This window comes from Homo sapiens, chromosome 1 (assembly GCF_000001405.40).
Source record: "Homo sapiens chromosome 1, GRCh38.p14 Primary Assembly".
In the NCBI taxonomy this organism is placed as follows: Eukaryota; Metazoa; Chordata; class Mammalia; order Primates; family Hominidae; genus Homo; species Homo sapiens.
Genome location: NC_000001.11, coordinates 51,757,632 through 51,774,006, shown reverse-complemented (window position 1 = coordinate 51,774,006; position 16,375 = coordinate 51,757,632). Strand labels below are relative to the sequence as shown.

The 16,375-nt window shown below is 37.7% G+C and overlaps 1 protein-coding gene across 16 annotated transcripts in view; it reads right to left on the bottom strand.

Moving 5' to 3' along the window:
* The window catches only part of OSBPL9 (oxysterol binding protein like 9), a 270,948-nt gene that overhangs the window by 15,213 nt on the left and 239,360 nt on the right, over positions 1 to 16,375 (bottom strand). For all 16 annotated transcript variants that reach the window (NR_036662.2, NM_001416294.1, NM_001416293.1 and 13 more), the window contains 5 exons: positions 13,227 to 13,317; positions 12,036 to 12,140; positions 8,026 to 8,185; positions 1,825 to 1,937; positions 1,284 to 1,402 (listed from right to left, as the gene is read on the bottom strand). Coding sequence is in view for 15 of the 16 variants with exons in the window: in NM_001416294.1 (NP_001403223.1) it covers positions 1,284 to 1,402; positions 1,825 to 1,937; positions 8,026 to 8,185; positions 12,036 to 12,140; positions 13,227 to 13,317 (588 nt within the window). In the remaining variant the exon portion in view is untranslated. The remainder of the gene's footprint in view (positions 1 to 1,283; positions 1,403 to 1,824; positions 1,938 to 8,025; positions 8,186 to 12,035; positions 12,141 to 13,226; positions 13,318 to 16,375) is intronic.

Genomic DNA, 16,375 nt, shown 5'->3' with positions numbered 1-16,375 from the left:
CACTCCTGGAAAACAACGTCCTTCCTAACAACAACAACAACAACAACAACAACAACAACAACAACGCCAGCAGCTGTACAATCTAATGATTACTGAAGCAATTCCGGGGACAAACTCCTGCAAATGTTCTCCTACCTAGAACATTCCTAGTAAGTGTGTTGGGCTCCACAAATAAAAGTTGTCCTTGTGTCTCTGTTCTCACTTAGATTAGGGGTAAAAGGTTTTATTACAGACACTTACTTGAAGGTATTATGAATTAGTCTTTTTCTTAATGGCCCTCTAAATCCAAAACAAAAAGGAGTTCACTACTGACAAAGACTATAACACTGGAATTGATTTTGCCCTAACAAAAGTGAGAACTCTAAATTTAATCAACTCCCCAAAGCTCGGCAGAACAATAATCAATATGAAAGTTAATACAGTTCAAGCCTTCAAGACAAAGGCAGTAGTGGAAAGATTACAGGTTTTAAAATCATGGAGCAGATTAGAATCTCAGTCTGCCACTTAATATGACTTAACACGACTCAGCCACATTACTTAACTTCTGAGTTTTAGTTTCCTGATGAAATGAAGTTAATAACACCTACTCTGTGGTACTGTGGTGAGAATTAAGTGAAAGGAGGGGGTTTTCTAGCACAGTGGCAGGAATATACAAAGGCACCCATACACCAGTCTCCTAATTCAAGCATGCATTCTGTTGAGAGCTCCAAGTTTAAATTCAAATTCAAATCCAGACTATGGTAATTTTGCATGACTCAATATGTGTCATTTTGCGTGCCTGTAGTCCCAGCTACCAAGGAGGCTGAGGCAGGAGAATCGCTTGAACCTGGGAGACAGAGGTCACAAATATGTCACAATTTTACATTTACTACCTCTTCCAATCCTTACAATAACCCTCTGAAACAGGTTACTATGTGTCCAATTTGCATAGAGAACCCTGAAGTCCACAGAGGAAGAAACAGAAGAAACTCACTGAAGACCGTGCGTGGTTTGCTAATATTAGAGGTAGGACGAAAACACAGATCCTCTGACCCTAAGATTAGAACTCTACCAAATCTTAATCCATACAACTCATACACACTGTTCTCTATGAAATTATCCTAGCTTGACTTATTTCATCATTTATAAAATTTTGTTTACTTATCTACATCTATATTAAATCACAAGAAGACACAGGTATAAAAAGAAATTATGTCATTTTACTACATTTGCAGGCACACTCACCACGCAATCACTGAGAATCCATACATACCCACACAGACTTACAGCAAATTTGGTCTTACCTTAGTAAGATCCATTCCAAGTCTAACCTGCGACAAGAGATGCATGATAACGCTCTTGTGCTCCTCCACAGACCCTGCCTCCGCATCATCATCTCTGTCATCATGTGAATCAAACAGGTCTAAAATAAAGCAGATCTTATTAGAATGGTGCTAAATTGGGCCAATCTGTCCTGATACTAGAATTACAATTTTGTTTGTTTGTTTGTTTGAGATGGAGTCTCATTCTTTCGCCCAGGCTGGAGTGCAATGGCACGATCTTGGCTCACTGTAAACCTCCATCTTCCAGGTTCAAGCAATTCTCCTGAATCAGCCTCCTTGGCAGCTGGGATTACAGGCACGCACCACCATGCCCAGCTAATTTTTTGTATTTTTTTAGTAGAGATGGGGTTTCACCATGTTGGTCAGGCTGGTCTTGAACTCCGGACCTCAAGTGATCTGCCCACCTCGGTCTCCCAAAGTGCTGGGATTACGGCATGAGCCACCACATCTGGCCACAAATATTTTTAAAGAAAAAAAAGTTAAATTATCAAAGGTCACTTACCAGCATCACTTGTTCCATTGGACAAGGAAGAATTAAGTGATTCTGTGGTATCTGGGCGTTTTAGACTATTTCCCGAGCTGCTGTGTGTCAGGACTGAGGCAGATCCAGAAGAACTATAAAAACATTAATTACCTTATTTAAGCTAAAGAAAGCAATTTAGAATCATAGTAAGCTAGACTCGTACAGTTAGCTGGTTACATGCATGCATATATATGCTTTAGAATTCTCTTGATGACAAGGTCTCTTGTCTTATCCTTTATGCACAGGATGTGCTCAACAAAGCCATGTTGATAGTCAAGACCTAGAAGTCATCAAAAATTAGTGAGATCTTTGCCTCTGCATTTAAGTTTAAAACTAGAGTTCCTTTTATGATTTTGTTACTGGGTATAAATCTAAATATGTCACAATTCTTGGCAACAATTCCAGAAACGGCAAGTCTCAGAAACATGTCTTGTCTTTATGTTTGAGATCCTTTAATAAAAGCCCACATTGGTATTAACACTCTTCCTAATCATTAAAAAACTGTACTTGAAATTATAAAATAAAAAAACATCTTATTTATGCAAGTAAATTCATGCTAACTGGCTTTTATGAGCCAGTTAACAGGTCTAAAGAAAGATTATTCTATTATTAATAGATTATCATACCTGTGATCATAATTTACCGATGGAAGTGTGTGTGTGTGCGCGCACACGCACGTATATTTATATTTTTCTTAAGAGACAAGGTCTCCTTATGTTGCCCAGGATGGACTCGAACTCCTGGCCTCAAGTGATCCTCCCACCTCAGCCACCCAAGTCACTGGGTTTACAGGTGTGAGCCACCACACCCAGTTGGTATTTGTATATAAATAAAGGAAAAATAAAAAAGGCACACAATTTACTTATTAAATGTAAAAATTGAAATCAAATTTCTCACGCTTTAGATATTTATAAAACAGTACACATGAGTCTTATTACAACTCTACACGTGCGAAAACATGTATTCTAATCTAATCATAATTTGCCCTTGTTACTTAACTTCTTTTAATTTTTTTAAATTAATAAACTTTATTTTTAGAGCAGTTTTAGGTTCATGGCAAAACTGAACAGAAAATATAGACAGCATGCATACATTCCCTGTCTCCACACCTGCAAACCTCCCTCATGATCAACATCCCATACCAGAGAGGTATATTTCTTACAACCAATGAGCCTACATTGACACATCATTATCACTCAAAGTCTACAGTTTATATTAGGGTTCACTCTTGGAGTTGCCTGTTCTATCGGTTTTGATAAATATATGACAACATGTATCCACCATTGTATCATACAGAATAGTTTCACTGCTGTAAAAATCCTCTGGGCTCTGCCTGTATTAGAACACTAGAATATTAGGATATTCTAAAATTAGAATATATTATGTTATTCTAGTTTGCCCTGGTTACTTACCTATTTTTCAAAATTTCTTGAGTAACTAAGTATTACTTCTTTGATTATTTAGTAGTATATATCACAAGGTATTATAACTAATGTCCACCTCACCAGTTTTGAGAGGCAATGGAAAATATGTCTAAAAGATACAGGTAAGAGAAATCAAATGATCATTAAATGACAGAACTGGGGCCAGGCATGATGGCTCACGCCTGTAATTCCAACACTTTGGGAGGCCAAGGCAAGAGGATCACTTGAGCCCAGGAGTTTGAGTCTAGCCTGGGTAACATGGTGAGACCCCATCTCTACAAAAAATAAAAAATTAGGCTGGGCATGGTGGCTCAGGCTTGTAATCCCAGCACTTTGTAAAGCCAAGGTGGGCAGATCACTTGAGGTGAGGAGTTCAAGACCAGCCTGGTTAACATGGTGAAGCCCCATCTCTACTAAAAATACAAAAAGTTAGCCGAGCGTGGTGGCATGCGCCTGTAGTCCCAGCTACTTTGGAGACTGAGACATGAGAATCGTTTGAACCTGGGAGGTGGAGGTTGCAATAAGCCGACATCGCACCTCTGCACTCCAGCTCCAGTTTGGGCGACAGAGTGAGATTCTGTCTCAAAAAAAAAAAAAAAATTAGCTGGGCATGGTGGTGTGTGCCTGTGGTTCCAGCTACTGGGGCGGCTGAGGTGGGAGGATCACTTGAGCCCATGAGGTTGAGGCTATAGTGAGCTGTGTTCGTGCCACTGCACTCTAGCCTGAGTGATAGAGTGAGACCCTCTGTCTCAAAAAAAAGCATGAAAGTTACCTTTAAAATGCTTTGTGCCTCTGTGATGTATCTCAAAATAGAGTCAATCTTTTAAATCAATTGACCTAAAAACCCCAAATCCTATAACATATGAATCTTATTTTAGATGTAATTTCAAAGGTCCTATTTATGCTGTGTTTTTTCTCCTTACCCATGATTAGAAACCATGTCTGAGCCAAGTGAAATACTCAGTAAGACTGTAAATTGAAAAAAAATGGGATAAATTTTCAGCCATTTCATAATTTACCTTGTTCAGAACAAATGATATAAAGAAAACAGTTAAAAACAACACCTATGTATACAGGAAAGTTTTATCTGCAATGGGCTAAGTTGTCTAGAATTTAGGCATAAAATCATAAAGTATGCAAAAACAATTTAAAGCTATGAATTATAATAATAATTTATCGAGTACCTTGTATGCACCATACACGGTATGTCTATATCTACATTACAACCCTAAGGAAAACACAATGACGCTCATAATACACAGACGCTCGGAGGTTCAATGACTGGTCTGAAGTCATACAGCTGGTGAGTAGTGGAGCCATTTCAAACACGTCTGGCTCCAAAGTACAAGTTCTTTCCAACATGTACTTTTATCTAATTTATAAATGTGTAAACTACAGTGCTCAGTGCCATAGTTACACAGAAGCTATCATTAGTATAGGTCTTTAGAAAAAGAACAGTGAAAGGACTTAAGCTTTCAAGTTCTCTTCCTTCAGAAAGAGAAAAACAAAAAATAGTAAAAAGAAATTTGACCTCAGTTAGAAAATCAGCAGTAGCAGCTGATGACCAGCAGGTGTCACAAGCTCAAATAGCTACAGATGCCAGGCAGAGAATATGTGGATAGGACCAAGACATAAGATATATATGGAACTGGGGAGTCAGCATACCCAACCTGAAAGAATCTAAAGCCTTGTTAAAACAAAACAAAAAACAAGTCAACAGAACACTGTGCTGCCCAAATAAAACATCTGCAGTCCTTACTGGTTTGGGCTTCTAGATTAGAATATACAAACAAGGAAGAGTGAAATTGAGGGAGAAAAGGAACACAGAGTGGGTTAGTTGGACATAAAAACTTAACTCTGGACCCTTTCAAAGAGATGTTCATGAACTGTGTGTTTATTATGGGACAGGGTACTGGGAGAGCATAGAAGGAACCTTAACAGCAGGAATAGAAGAAGCCCATGAGCCTGTGCATGACTTTGTAGACCTGCCTATTACAGGTACAACAGGTGTTTTAAATGTTTCGATTTCATAGAAATTTTGGGAGAATCCCTCAAAACGGAGCCAGAGAGTGTCTATCAGTGATGTTACCAAGAGCTAACCACATATTATCAAGCTTTTACTGAATACAGTCATATGCTTTTAAAGGATGGATACATGAGTGATTTACTAGCAAGTGACATTCAATTGCACTTTTTTAGAACAATAGCTAATGTATTGTCTTTAGGCCAGGTGCAGTGGCTCATGCCTGTGATCCCAGCACTTTGGGAGGCCGAGGCAGGCGGACAGCCTGAGGTCAGGAGTTCGACACCAGCCTGGCCAACATGGCAAAACCCCTCCTCTACTAAAAGTACAAAAATTAGCTGGGCATGGTGGTGGGCACCTGTAATCCCAGCTATTCAGGAGGCTGAGGCAGGAGAATTGCTTGAACCCAGGAGGCCGAGATTGCACCATTGCACTCCAGCCTGGGCAACAAGAGCAAAACTCCGTCTCAAAAAAGGCTGGGCGCGGTGGCTCATGCCTGTAATCCCAGCACTTTGGGAGGCCGAGGCGGGCTGATCATGAGGTCAGGAGATCGAGACCATCCTGGCTAACACGGTGAAACCCCGTCTCTACTAAAAATACAAAAAACTAGCCAGGCGTGGTGGCGGGCGCCTGTAGTCCCAGCTACTCGGGAGGCTGAGGCAGGAAAATGGCGTGAACCCGGGAGGCGGAGCTTGCAGTGAGCCAAGATGGCGCCACTGCACTCCAGCCTGGGCGACAAAGACTGTGTCTCAAAAAAAAAAAAAAAAAAAAAAAAAAAGACGGTCTTTAATTCTCTTTTAAATAAAATAATGACTGAACCCTTCAAAAATTAATAATAACCTTTCATTTTCGAATTTTCTTCCAAATGCTTATTTTCTTTTAACCCCATTATTATAAAAACTTTTTTTCCAAAATTAAATTTCTATTGGCAAACTGCTAACAATGGTTTCTCAATAGTTTATGTTTTAACATTCAAAATGAAAAAAAGAAACCAATATGCTAAACTAAGCCCTTTCTGCTACACTGGCCTTCTTTAGTTGTAGATTTAAACCTCCCTTCCACGTCTTAACTATATATATTCACCTAGACCACATAGGACTGGCTGAAGGTAATTGGCTTGCAAATTTACATTTAATTATTTCCAAATTTGTACTGTGTTAAAAAGCAAAAACCCTAGCTATAGTAACAGTATAGTAACAGTCCCCTGAGAAAGCAGAATTAGAAGTAATTCCCAACAAAAACTAAGCTATTAATACATCTACAACAAACACAAGTAAAATGAAAGTAAATCAGTAATTCTACTTCTTTTTTTTTTTTTTTTAAGACAGAGTCTCACTCTTGTCACCCAGGCTGGAGTACAGCAGCCCAATCTCGGCTCACTGCAACCTACACCTCCTGTGTTCAAGAGATTCTCCCATCTTAGCCTCCCGAGTAGCTAGGACGACAGGCGTGTGCCACCACACTCAGCTAATTTTTGTATTTTTTTAGAGACAGGGTTTTACCATGTTGCCCAAGCTGGTCTCAAACTCCTGGGCTCAACTGATCCTCCCACCTCAGCCTCCCAGATTGCTGAGATTAGGGGCATAAGCCACCACACCTGGCTCCCTAAACTGTTTTTGTTGTTGTTGTTTGTTTGGAAACAGAGTCTTGCTCTGTTGCCCAGGCTAGAGTGCAGTGGTGTGATCTCAGCTCACTGCAACCTCCGCCTCCCAGGTTCAAGTGATTCTCCTGCCTCAGCCTCCTGAGTAGCTGGAATTTATAGGCATGTACCACCATGCCTGGCTAATTTTTTTTTTTTTTTGGTATTTTTAGTAGAGATGGTTTCACCATGTTGGTCAGGCTGGTCTCGAACTCCTGACCTCATGATCTGCCAGCCTCAGCCTCCCAAAGTGCTGGGATTACAGGCGTGAGCCACCACACTTGGCCTCCCTAAACGTTTTTAAATAAAATTAGTGCCTTAAAGCCAGTGCAGAGAGACAGATTTGAGGTGGACTTCCATTTCCCTGTAAGTAGACTTGCAATAAAAAGCTTTTCTTTCCTCAAAAACCTGGGACTTAGTAATGGCTTCTAGCACATTGGGCAGCAAGCCCCTTTTGCTCCATAACACTGTAGGAAATAAATTTCTGTTGTTTATAAGCTACCTAGATTACTGTATTTTGTTATGGCAGCTTAAAGGGACTAAGATACCATACCACGTATTTCATTAGATTATAAATGTCTGCCTATTCCCCCAAAAGTTCCCTGTGGGCAGGGCCTGGATCTTTGTAACCTTGATATCAACCTAGCACAGTGCCTGGCTGATAGGTGTTGAATATTTCCACTCTAATTAAAAAAAGAAAAAAGTAATAGAAACCTCTTATTTGTATAATGCTTCATAGCTTATTCACTCTCATTGGACCCTCTCCTAATGTTGGTACTGTAGAAACGGCCAGGGTTCAACTAATAACGCTGGCACATTACTATAGGTGATGCTATTTATTCCACTTGGATTAACTTAGGACTAAAATCAAAACTCTCACAGAACTGGCTTTGCTCAATAAGCCAACCAAAAACAAGTTGTCCATACAACTATTATACATCAATAAAAAAACTTCTATTAAAAAGGTTGCCCTTTTAATTTTCCCAAATAATAACTGATGAGGCAAGTCTGTCATTAACACTAGTCTCAAAATCAAATTAGATTTTTAAAAATCAGGAGAATCATTTAAATACATATTCTGTTCATCTACTCACTCTATTAAGCGCTTTGGGGATGAGCCACTTTGATGGAATTCATCAGCATCATAAAATTCATCTTCACTGCTGGAGTAAGAGAACTCTGGGACTGTATTTGGAGACAAGTTCACGTGGCTTGGAGAAGTGAGACTGCTACTCGGTGGTGAATGGCCACTGCCTAGGAAGTTAAAAGGGTTTTAGAGAAAAATATTGGTGAAAGAGAAGAAACTAGGGAGATGGAGTCAAAGCAGACTTTTCTAAAATCAAAAAAGAGTTTGGTTAAGTTTGTAAAAGTCGCTACAGTATTTATAAAGAAAATCAACATTTAAACTCCACACAGAAAATGGCAAATCATGATATAAAATGAGGACACAGCCTTTTAAATAAATGAAACAAAAAGCTATGTCCTCATTCTATAATTAAAGATTATCATTAATACTAGGAAGGGGGCCCTTTTGATTATATGAGTTGTGGAGTTGCAAGTCCAACAACAGATATGATTACAATGGGATGCCGGGACTCTTATTTTACACTGCAGATCCAGATACCTAAAAATGCAGCAGTGAGCCACTGGGAATGCAAAATGAAAAGAATATTAAGACCACATAAACATTAAAATATTGCAGGATATCACATTCCTATCATTCAATATTTTTTGGCAATCACATGGAAAATACACACACCATCCAAATTCCTCTCCTCTTTTCCACCTAAGTCAGGGGCTCAGAGGTGGAGATAAAAATAGAGGACTACGATGAGAAGAATGCAGAAAATGAAAAGATTCAGAAGAACATTTTTCTATTCCTAAATAGTCTAACTAAAGAAATGGAAATTAATGAAGACCCAGACAAAGAAGCCTGCCATCTAATCTCTGAGATGATCATCTGGTACCTTATCTACTAGTAAAGCAAGAACAAAAAAGTATCAAACCAATCGACAAATGGAGTATTAAGATCAATTTAACTTACTGAGCATTTAAGGGCTGTCAGTCAGGCAATTTATACTAATCTACAGATGTCTGGTGAAGACTAAAGTTTATTAAGACACTGATGGCAATCTGAAAGCCAGGGCCACAGTTCTGGAAGAAATTGAAGACAGCAATAAAAATGAATCCAGGCTAGGCACAATGGCTCATGCCTGTAATTCCAGCACTTTGGGAGGACCAGTTGGGAGGACTGCTTGAGGCCAGGAGTTCAAGACCAGCCTGTGCAACAAAGTGAGAGCCCCATCTCTTAAAAAAATAGATAAATAAATTAGCTGGGCATGGTGGCATGTGCCTGTGGTCTCAGCTACACGACAGGCTGGGGCAGGATCACTTAATCTGAGGAGGTCGAGGCTGCAGTGAGTTGTGTTTGTGCCATTGCATTACAGCCTGGGTAAACAGAGTGAGACCTTGTCTCAAAAAAAAAAAAAAAAGAATCCAGAGTCACTTACGGATTTTTTGCCCATTCCTATATGTATGGTTCAATAGTTGTGAAAAAAAGCACATCAGTTTGCCACATTTAGTCATCATATTCACAAAGGTATTTTAAAAAGATAACACAAAAAGTTTAACCCCTAAAAGGTAATGCTTATTTTGGAAATTCCAAAGGTAGCTCACCTTATTAGTAAATAACTTCATATTCTTTTTATTACCCAACAGAAAAAGTAAGAGAGAAAAGCAGCTTTTTCTTATTGGAATAAAAAAAAAATTGATCAAGAATTGCAAATGATTAAGTAGCATGCAAATATTCCAGGTGATCACACAAGTGAAACTGTATCTAAGAAGAAAAGTTTGAGTGGGAACTGCAAACAAAAGATCTGAGATTTACTTAGGAGAGCAAACATTTTATCTTATTCCTTTATTTCTTTTTTGTATTAACAAGAGAAGTAAGGGAAAGAAAAGTGGAGAAAATGAAGTTAGGATGAAAAATCAAATAAGATATAAATCACAGGAATTTAATTTTAAATTTTTCTTTAAATCTACTCTAAAGTGTTAGATTTTTGAAATACCTTCAACTGAAATAGTTTTCAGAAGATTATCTTCTGGAAGTAATTTTTACAAAAATTAATATACATAAGAAGAGCTTCTCACTTTCTCAAAGTCTGTTGCTAGTTTTACGTATTTCCAAACAGAAAAATTTTGGAATTTTGGTTGTTTCAAAATTCCAACATAAAAATACGAACAACAACAAACAGGTACTATTTTTTAAATGAAGAAGAGGTGACACAGCTCAGGAAATACAGAAGTCAGCCAAAATATTTCAATTTCATTATTCAAATTGCTTATCAGCCTTTTCCCAAGAGCTTCAAGTAAGAGAGCTATTTTTTTTCTTTCAAAATTCAAAGGCAACTGCCCATGCTGTTAAATAGTAAAGATCAAAGTAATAGCATCAGTACTTTTACTAATTCGAATTTTTTAAATCACAGGGTAATTATTCATCATTACACAGGAAAAATCCTACCCGGGAAAAAAATCTGAGGATGAACAAAAGGGGCTGATCTCCCACTTCTTCAAGAGTGGTTTTGGTTTTGGTTTCCAGGTTTAACAGTGTGAAAAGTGCTAGATGCTTCCTTGAGTTTGGTTCTACAAGTTATTCAACATACATTTAATTAATTTTAAAACAAGATAAATCTAGTATCTAACACTGATAGTATCCCTGTAAAACAGAGAAAAAATAAAGACCCTAAGCCTAAACGAATTAAGAAAATGCAGGCTGGGCGCGGTGGCTCACACCTGTAATCCCAGCACTTTGGGAGGTGGAGGTGGACAGATCACCTGAGGTCAGAAGCTCGAGACCAGCCTGGCCAACATAGTGAAATGCCGTCTCTACTAAAAATACAAAAATTTGTGGGGCGTGGTGGCGCACATCTTTAATCCCAGCTACTCAGGAGGCTGAGGCAGGAGAATCACCTCAACCCAGGAAGTGGAGGGTGCAGTGAGTCGAGACAGTGCCACTGGACTCCAGCCTGGGCAACAGAGTGAGACTCCATCTCAAAAACAAAAAACAAAACGTTTAAACAAACAAAAAGAAAATGCAAATTAAAATGAAGTATCTTTTTTCTAACTATAAAACTGGCAAAAAGGTGAAAGACTGATAAATGTTTTCTAAAAAAATATACATATGCCAAAGGTGCTGTACAAGGATATCACTGAAGTATTGCTTCCATCAGTGGAAAAAACAAGCAATACCTGCCCAGGCAGCTGTAAAAAGAATGCTGTAGACCTAATTTTACAAACATGGAAAGTGCTCTAAGTGTTCTTTGTTAAAGGAAAAACGCAAGTCACAGAAACACATAACCTAAGTTAGGTTTAAACAAAAACAATAAAAATACACGACATAAGTGTATATGCACATACATGTATGCAAATTACTGGGGGGAGAGTAAAGAGGACTTGCAGTTTTTATTCTGTGCACTTCTGTGTCAGCTTCATAATAAGAAAGTATGCAAGTCTAGCTGGAGTAAATTTTTCAAAAAGTCAACATAGATCACCAAATAAATGTTAAGGTAACAAACAAACAAAACTCTGTAATATTTTATTTTATTTAAATTATTCCAGGCATGGTGCCTCATGCTTGTATAATCCCAGCACACTGGGAGGCTGAGGCAGGAAGACTGCTTGAGCCCAAGAGTTTGAGACCAGCCTGAGCAACATAGGGAGACTCCTCTCTACAAAAATTAAAAATCAGCCAAGTGTGGTGTGTGTGCCTGTGGTCCCAGCTACTTGGGAGCCTGAGGCCTGGGAGGTCAAAACTACAGTGAGCCCTGATCGTACCACTGCACTCCAGCCTGAATGACAGAGTGAGACCCTGTCTCAAAAATAAAAATTTTAAAAACTTAAAAATAAATAAAACTTAACTAAAGCTTCTCTTTCAAACACAAAGCTAACCACTTCATGTATGGAACTATAATGTTAAAACTAACATATCTCCAACAGAAAATATACAACACATTTCTTCAACTTTCCCCCTCCTCATCAGAGGTCACAAACAAACCTCAAATGTTAATAGAGTTATGAGACATAAAGAAATTATGCAAATCTGTACCTGTACTATTTGGTGTAGGAGTCTGATGATGTCCCAAGGTAGCCAACACAGGTCCAACTGGTAGGGAAGATGGACGCTGCTCTGACTTACACAACTGAACAGGTTCTAGGAGATTTGAACGTATAAAATAAGGTACAGAAACAGCCAAACACACATTCTATTGACTGTAATTGTCTGGGATTCAAAATCCTAAAGGCCAGTAATTTTTGAAACTTTATTTCATTAAGTCTAGTTCCATGCTACTCCTTCCTTTTGACTTCCTAGCCTCTTAAACTCAATGATGATAGGCTACAGAGTACTAAGATACCAGGCAGGATATCAAAAAACCAGCCACAGTAGGCCAATACTGCAGTATAACTATGCTGTAAAACCAACAAATGCTTCTGATGATAATGTGTTTCTGAGCCTCAAACCACAAAAAATCTGAAGTGGAGTACAGTACCTGTTCCTCTTTAGCCCCAAGAGGTAGTTTAAGCTAATTCACTTAAGAAGTAAAAACTCACAAAAGGATTTCACATACTTACTAGTACTTTTAAAAAGAGTTTTCCATTTTACAGTACAATTTCTGACTTCACTATGCCATCGAGAACATAGAAATGTTGGATATAACAAAAGGGCAAAAGGAATCAGTCAGTGTAGCTAGGTATTGGCCCTGAGCCCTTCTTTGCCAGTTTTTAAAAAATTGCATGTATTGCTTTATACAAAAAAAAAAAAAACAAAACAAAACCCAGATGTCATGTGATCAGTAGGCATCATAAATTTCCCTCTTCACTTTCTCATTATCTTAAAATCTACCATGAACATACCATTTGTATTGTTCAGAGCTACACAGAATACCCCAAAACGGAACATCCCTGGATTATCCAGAATAAGGTATAGTAATTTTTCCTCGCTAGCCATGAATTCTGAGTCATAGAATCCTGTTCTACCAGTGAATCCAAATCGTAGTAACCAAGTTTGTTTTCTATCTCACTTTGAATAACAAAACCACTTTCATCACACTTCAGTAAAGCCCCAATATCAAAACATTATCATCTTTTTTCAGTTCACTTTTGGCTGTATTATTTTTTGAGTGCTTTTATTAAAAACAAGGAAAATCAAAAATAAACAGTAATAGCTAAGACTGCTATGACAGCCACACAAATTATTTTTTTCTCATCAATGAATCTAAGAAACATTTTCCCAAATTACCTGGAGGTAACACAGTCTGGGAAGGCATTGTGCTGATCACAGGTTCCAAAGGACTAGGTTGATATATTGCATCTACGGGATTAATAGTACTCTAAAATAAAGAAACACAATATAGCTATTTTTAATTAAATGCTCTTCTCATGCTACCCTCCCAAATGCCCACATTTATGACTTCAAAATCCTGAGGGTAGCTATATAGATATGTTGATCAAAATGAAAAGAGGGAATGAAACACCTTTTCTATACAGAAGTGTAAGAGTTGCTTAAAGCATAGTAAGGAAAGACAATGAATGAATCTCTGTCACAGAAGAAGGTAAAGCTAAATGGAAAAACTGAGGAGTTATAAAATGGTGTGGGGAGATTTCAGGAAGTCAAAACCACCTCTCAATTCAATTCGGTGCTTCTCAATCTCTTAATTCACCACAAATATTGTTTCTCTGTTTTTTTCACTTTTGGTGAGTTACACCAAATGTCCAACTGATGTACCTGCACCACTAGGATCTCATCTTTCCATCCCATACTGCTGCTATCACACAGTACAGTCACTCCTCAGGTATCCAGGGGGACTGGTTCCAAGCACCCCCCGAGGATGCCAAAATCCACAGACACTCAAGTCCCTGATAAAATATCGTGTAGTATTTGCATACAACCTACACATACGCTCCCATATAAGTTAAATCATCTCTAAATTACTTATGACACCTAATATTATGTAAATATTATATAAATCACCATTATACTGTATTGTTTAGGAAATCATGACAAGGAAAACAGTATATACATATTCAGTAAAGAGGTACTTTTTTTTTCCTCAAATATTTTGAATCCATGGTTGGTTGAATCCACAGATGCAGAAGGCTGACTGTGTGTCTAGTTTTATGGTCACTAAAGAGAAAGAGATGCATCTTCTAACTGGGGAGTGTAGAGAAGAGGGCTTGCTTTCTGAGGATTCAGAAGAGAGGGAGAAAAATTCAGACATGTAGTTAATTTTAGAGGGGAGAAAAGTCTAGGATTCTCTGATTCTAAGTCAAGAAATTATTCTGACAGCATGAAGGCATTTTAAAAAGAAAACTCCATAGGGCAGCAGGGGGGTGCGAGTGTGTACATGTTAAACCAAAGTCTTTGCCACAGCAAAGTTTACATTTACCATTTAGAAGACTAAACTGGGCAAACCCAAGAAATAAAAATGTAAGTTCTTTACCTTTAATTGATCTGGAAAACTGAACTTCACATATATATTAAGTAGTGCTTATAACAGAAGATACTAAAACAGAAATATAAGGGAAATACTTTGCCAATAAATAAGCCCAAAAAAGCAGTTGTAAAAACTTAAAATCACCTAATAATAGAAACTGAGGTAATGGTAAAGTTTTTGTAGCATTCTCACGTAATATCTAAGTTAAAAATTTTTTTCCAGGCCATGTGAAAAACAAACATACACTGTGTTCAGGACTGTTAAAGAAAATTTAAAACCAAAAAAACCCAGCCCTCTTTCTGCATGAATATCTAAAACTCATTAAATAAGGTCTTTTCGATCAAGTGACTTGAACACAGGAATTCTGATTCTTGTCACTAAAATAGTTTATCTGCCACAAATACTTTAACTGAAAAATGAAGGACACTTAGAGAAAACACCCCCAAAACAATCAGTAATAATTAAAAAAAAAAACAACTAAGAAACTGAAGTGGGGAATGTTTTGAAGCACTGAGAAAAGCAAAGAAACAGAGACTTGGAGTTTTTAATAGCTTAGAATCTTTAAGTCTCTTATCCTCTATGGGCCTCAGTTTCCCGGTCTGCAAAATAAAAAGTCTGTATTTACATGGGTGCTAAGGGTTTTCTGGTTATTACTTTGATTCTATTTTCAGATACTAGACCAAGCCATAATAACTAAACAAGTATCTCAACAAACATGGAGTTGTTCTTAAAATAAATTCCTTGTTTACACAGCGCTTTTCTCGAAAATAACTCCAAATGCTTTACAAAGACAAAATTCCACCATTAACGCTTTGATATATAGCAGTGAGAATATGTCACACCTCCTTACCCCTCCCACTGAAGGGAATAAGAAATAAAATAACTTTGGAACAAGGGACCAGAATTCTCTTTTGGATGTAATCTTTTATTTTCCAGATGAAACGTTCTTACAATTAGGCTGGTCAACCAAAGAAAACACTTAAAAACTTTGTGCACTGTTAAACAAAAATTATGAGAGGCCACTGTTTTGGACTGAGCTCTTGTACTAGGGCCCAACAGATTAGACCAAACCAAAATGGAGTCACTCTTGTTAAATGCCGTATCATTAAACTCTAAGGAAGCAAGTGGATCCCAAAATAGACCAGGTTTTTTTTTTTTTTTCTGAAAATAGGAGATTCCAGTCTACCCGAATCAGTGTAATACGGAAATGCTCACTGTTTTAACCCTTAAAAGAAAAGTAATCTGATGTTAACCAATCAGCATTTTTTCCTGTTACAGTTCTCACCTTACAAAACCCACTGCTTTGCCACTGCCCAGTGAGACCTCTCATTCTATTTTGTAGAATGGAGGCTGATCCGATTCATGCATCTTGAATAAAAGCCAATTAGATCTATGATTAAATTTGTTGTAATTTTGTCTTTTGACAACATGTATATTAAAAGTACTCAATCTTTTTGTTATTGTTTTTGATAGAAAAAATAACTATGCTACACTTATCCACAGTCCTTGGTCAGCCAACTTCAGGCTCAAATATGTCACATTACATTCTACAACTTGCTTTAAAAATAAATGTGCAGAACTTGAGAAGCAAAAATAATACTACTCAGCCCTAATCTGTTTTGACATTAATGAAACCCACGTAATACAATGTATTGCACATACACATACATGTACATATAGCTAACATTCATTGAATACTATGCGCTTGTTCTGTACCTTACAACAAACTTCTAAGGTAGAACATTTCAGCTTTCTTTACAGGAAAAGAAATTAAGACTCAGAAAGGTTAAGTAATTTGCCAAGGTCACAGGTAGTGAGTGGCAGGGCTATTTTATTTGAACCCAAGCAGCCTGCCTCTAAGGCCTATTCCATGAATAGTTCCTCTATTTTTTCAAAATAAAAATTCTTAAGGAAAATATGCTCTAGTCCCTGGGCAAATGATTCAAAGATATTT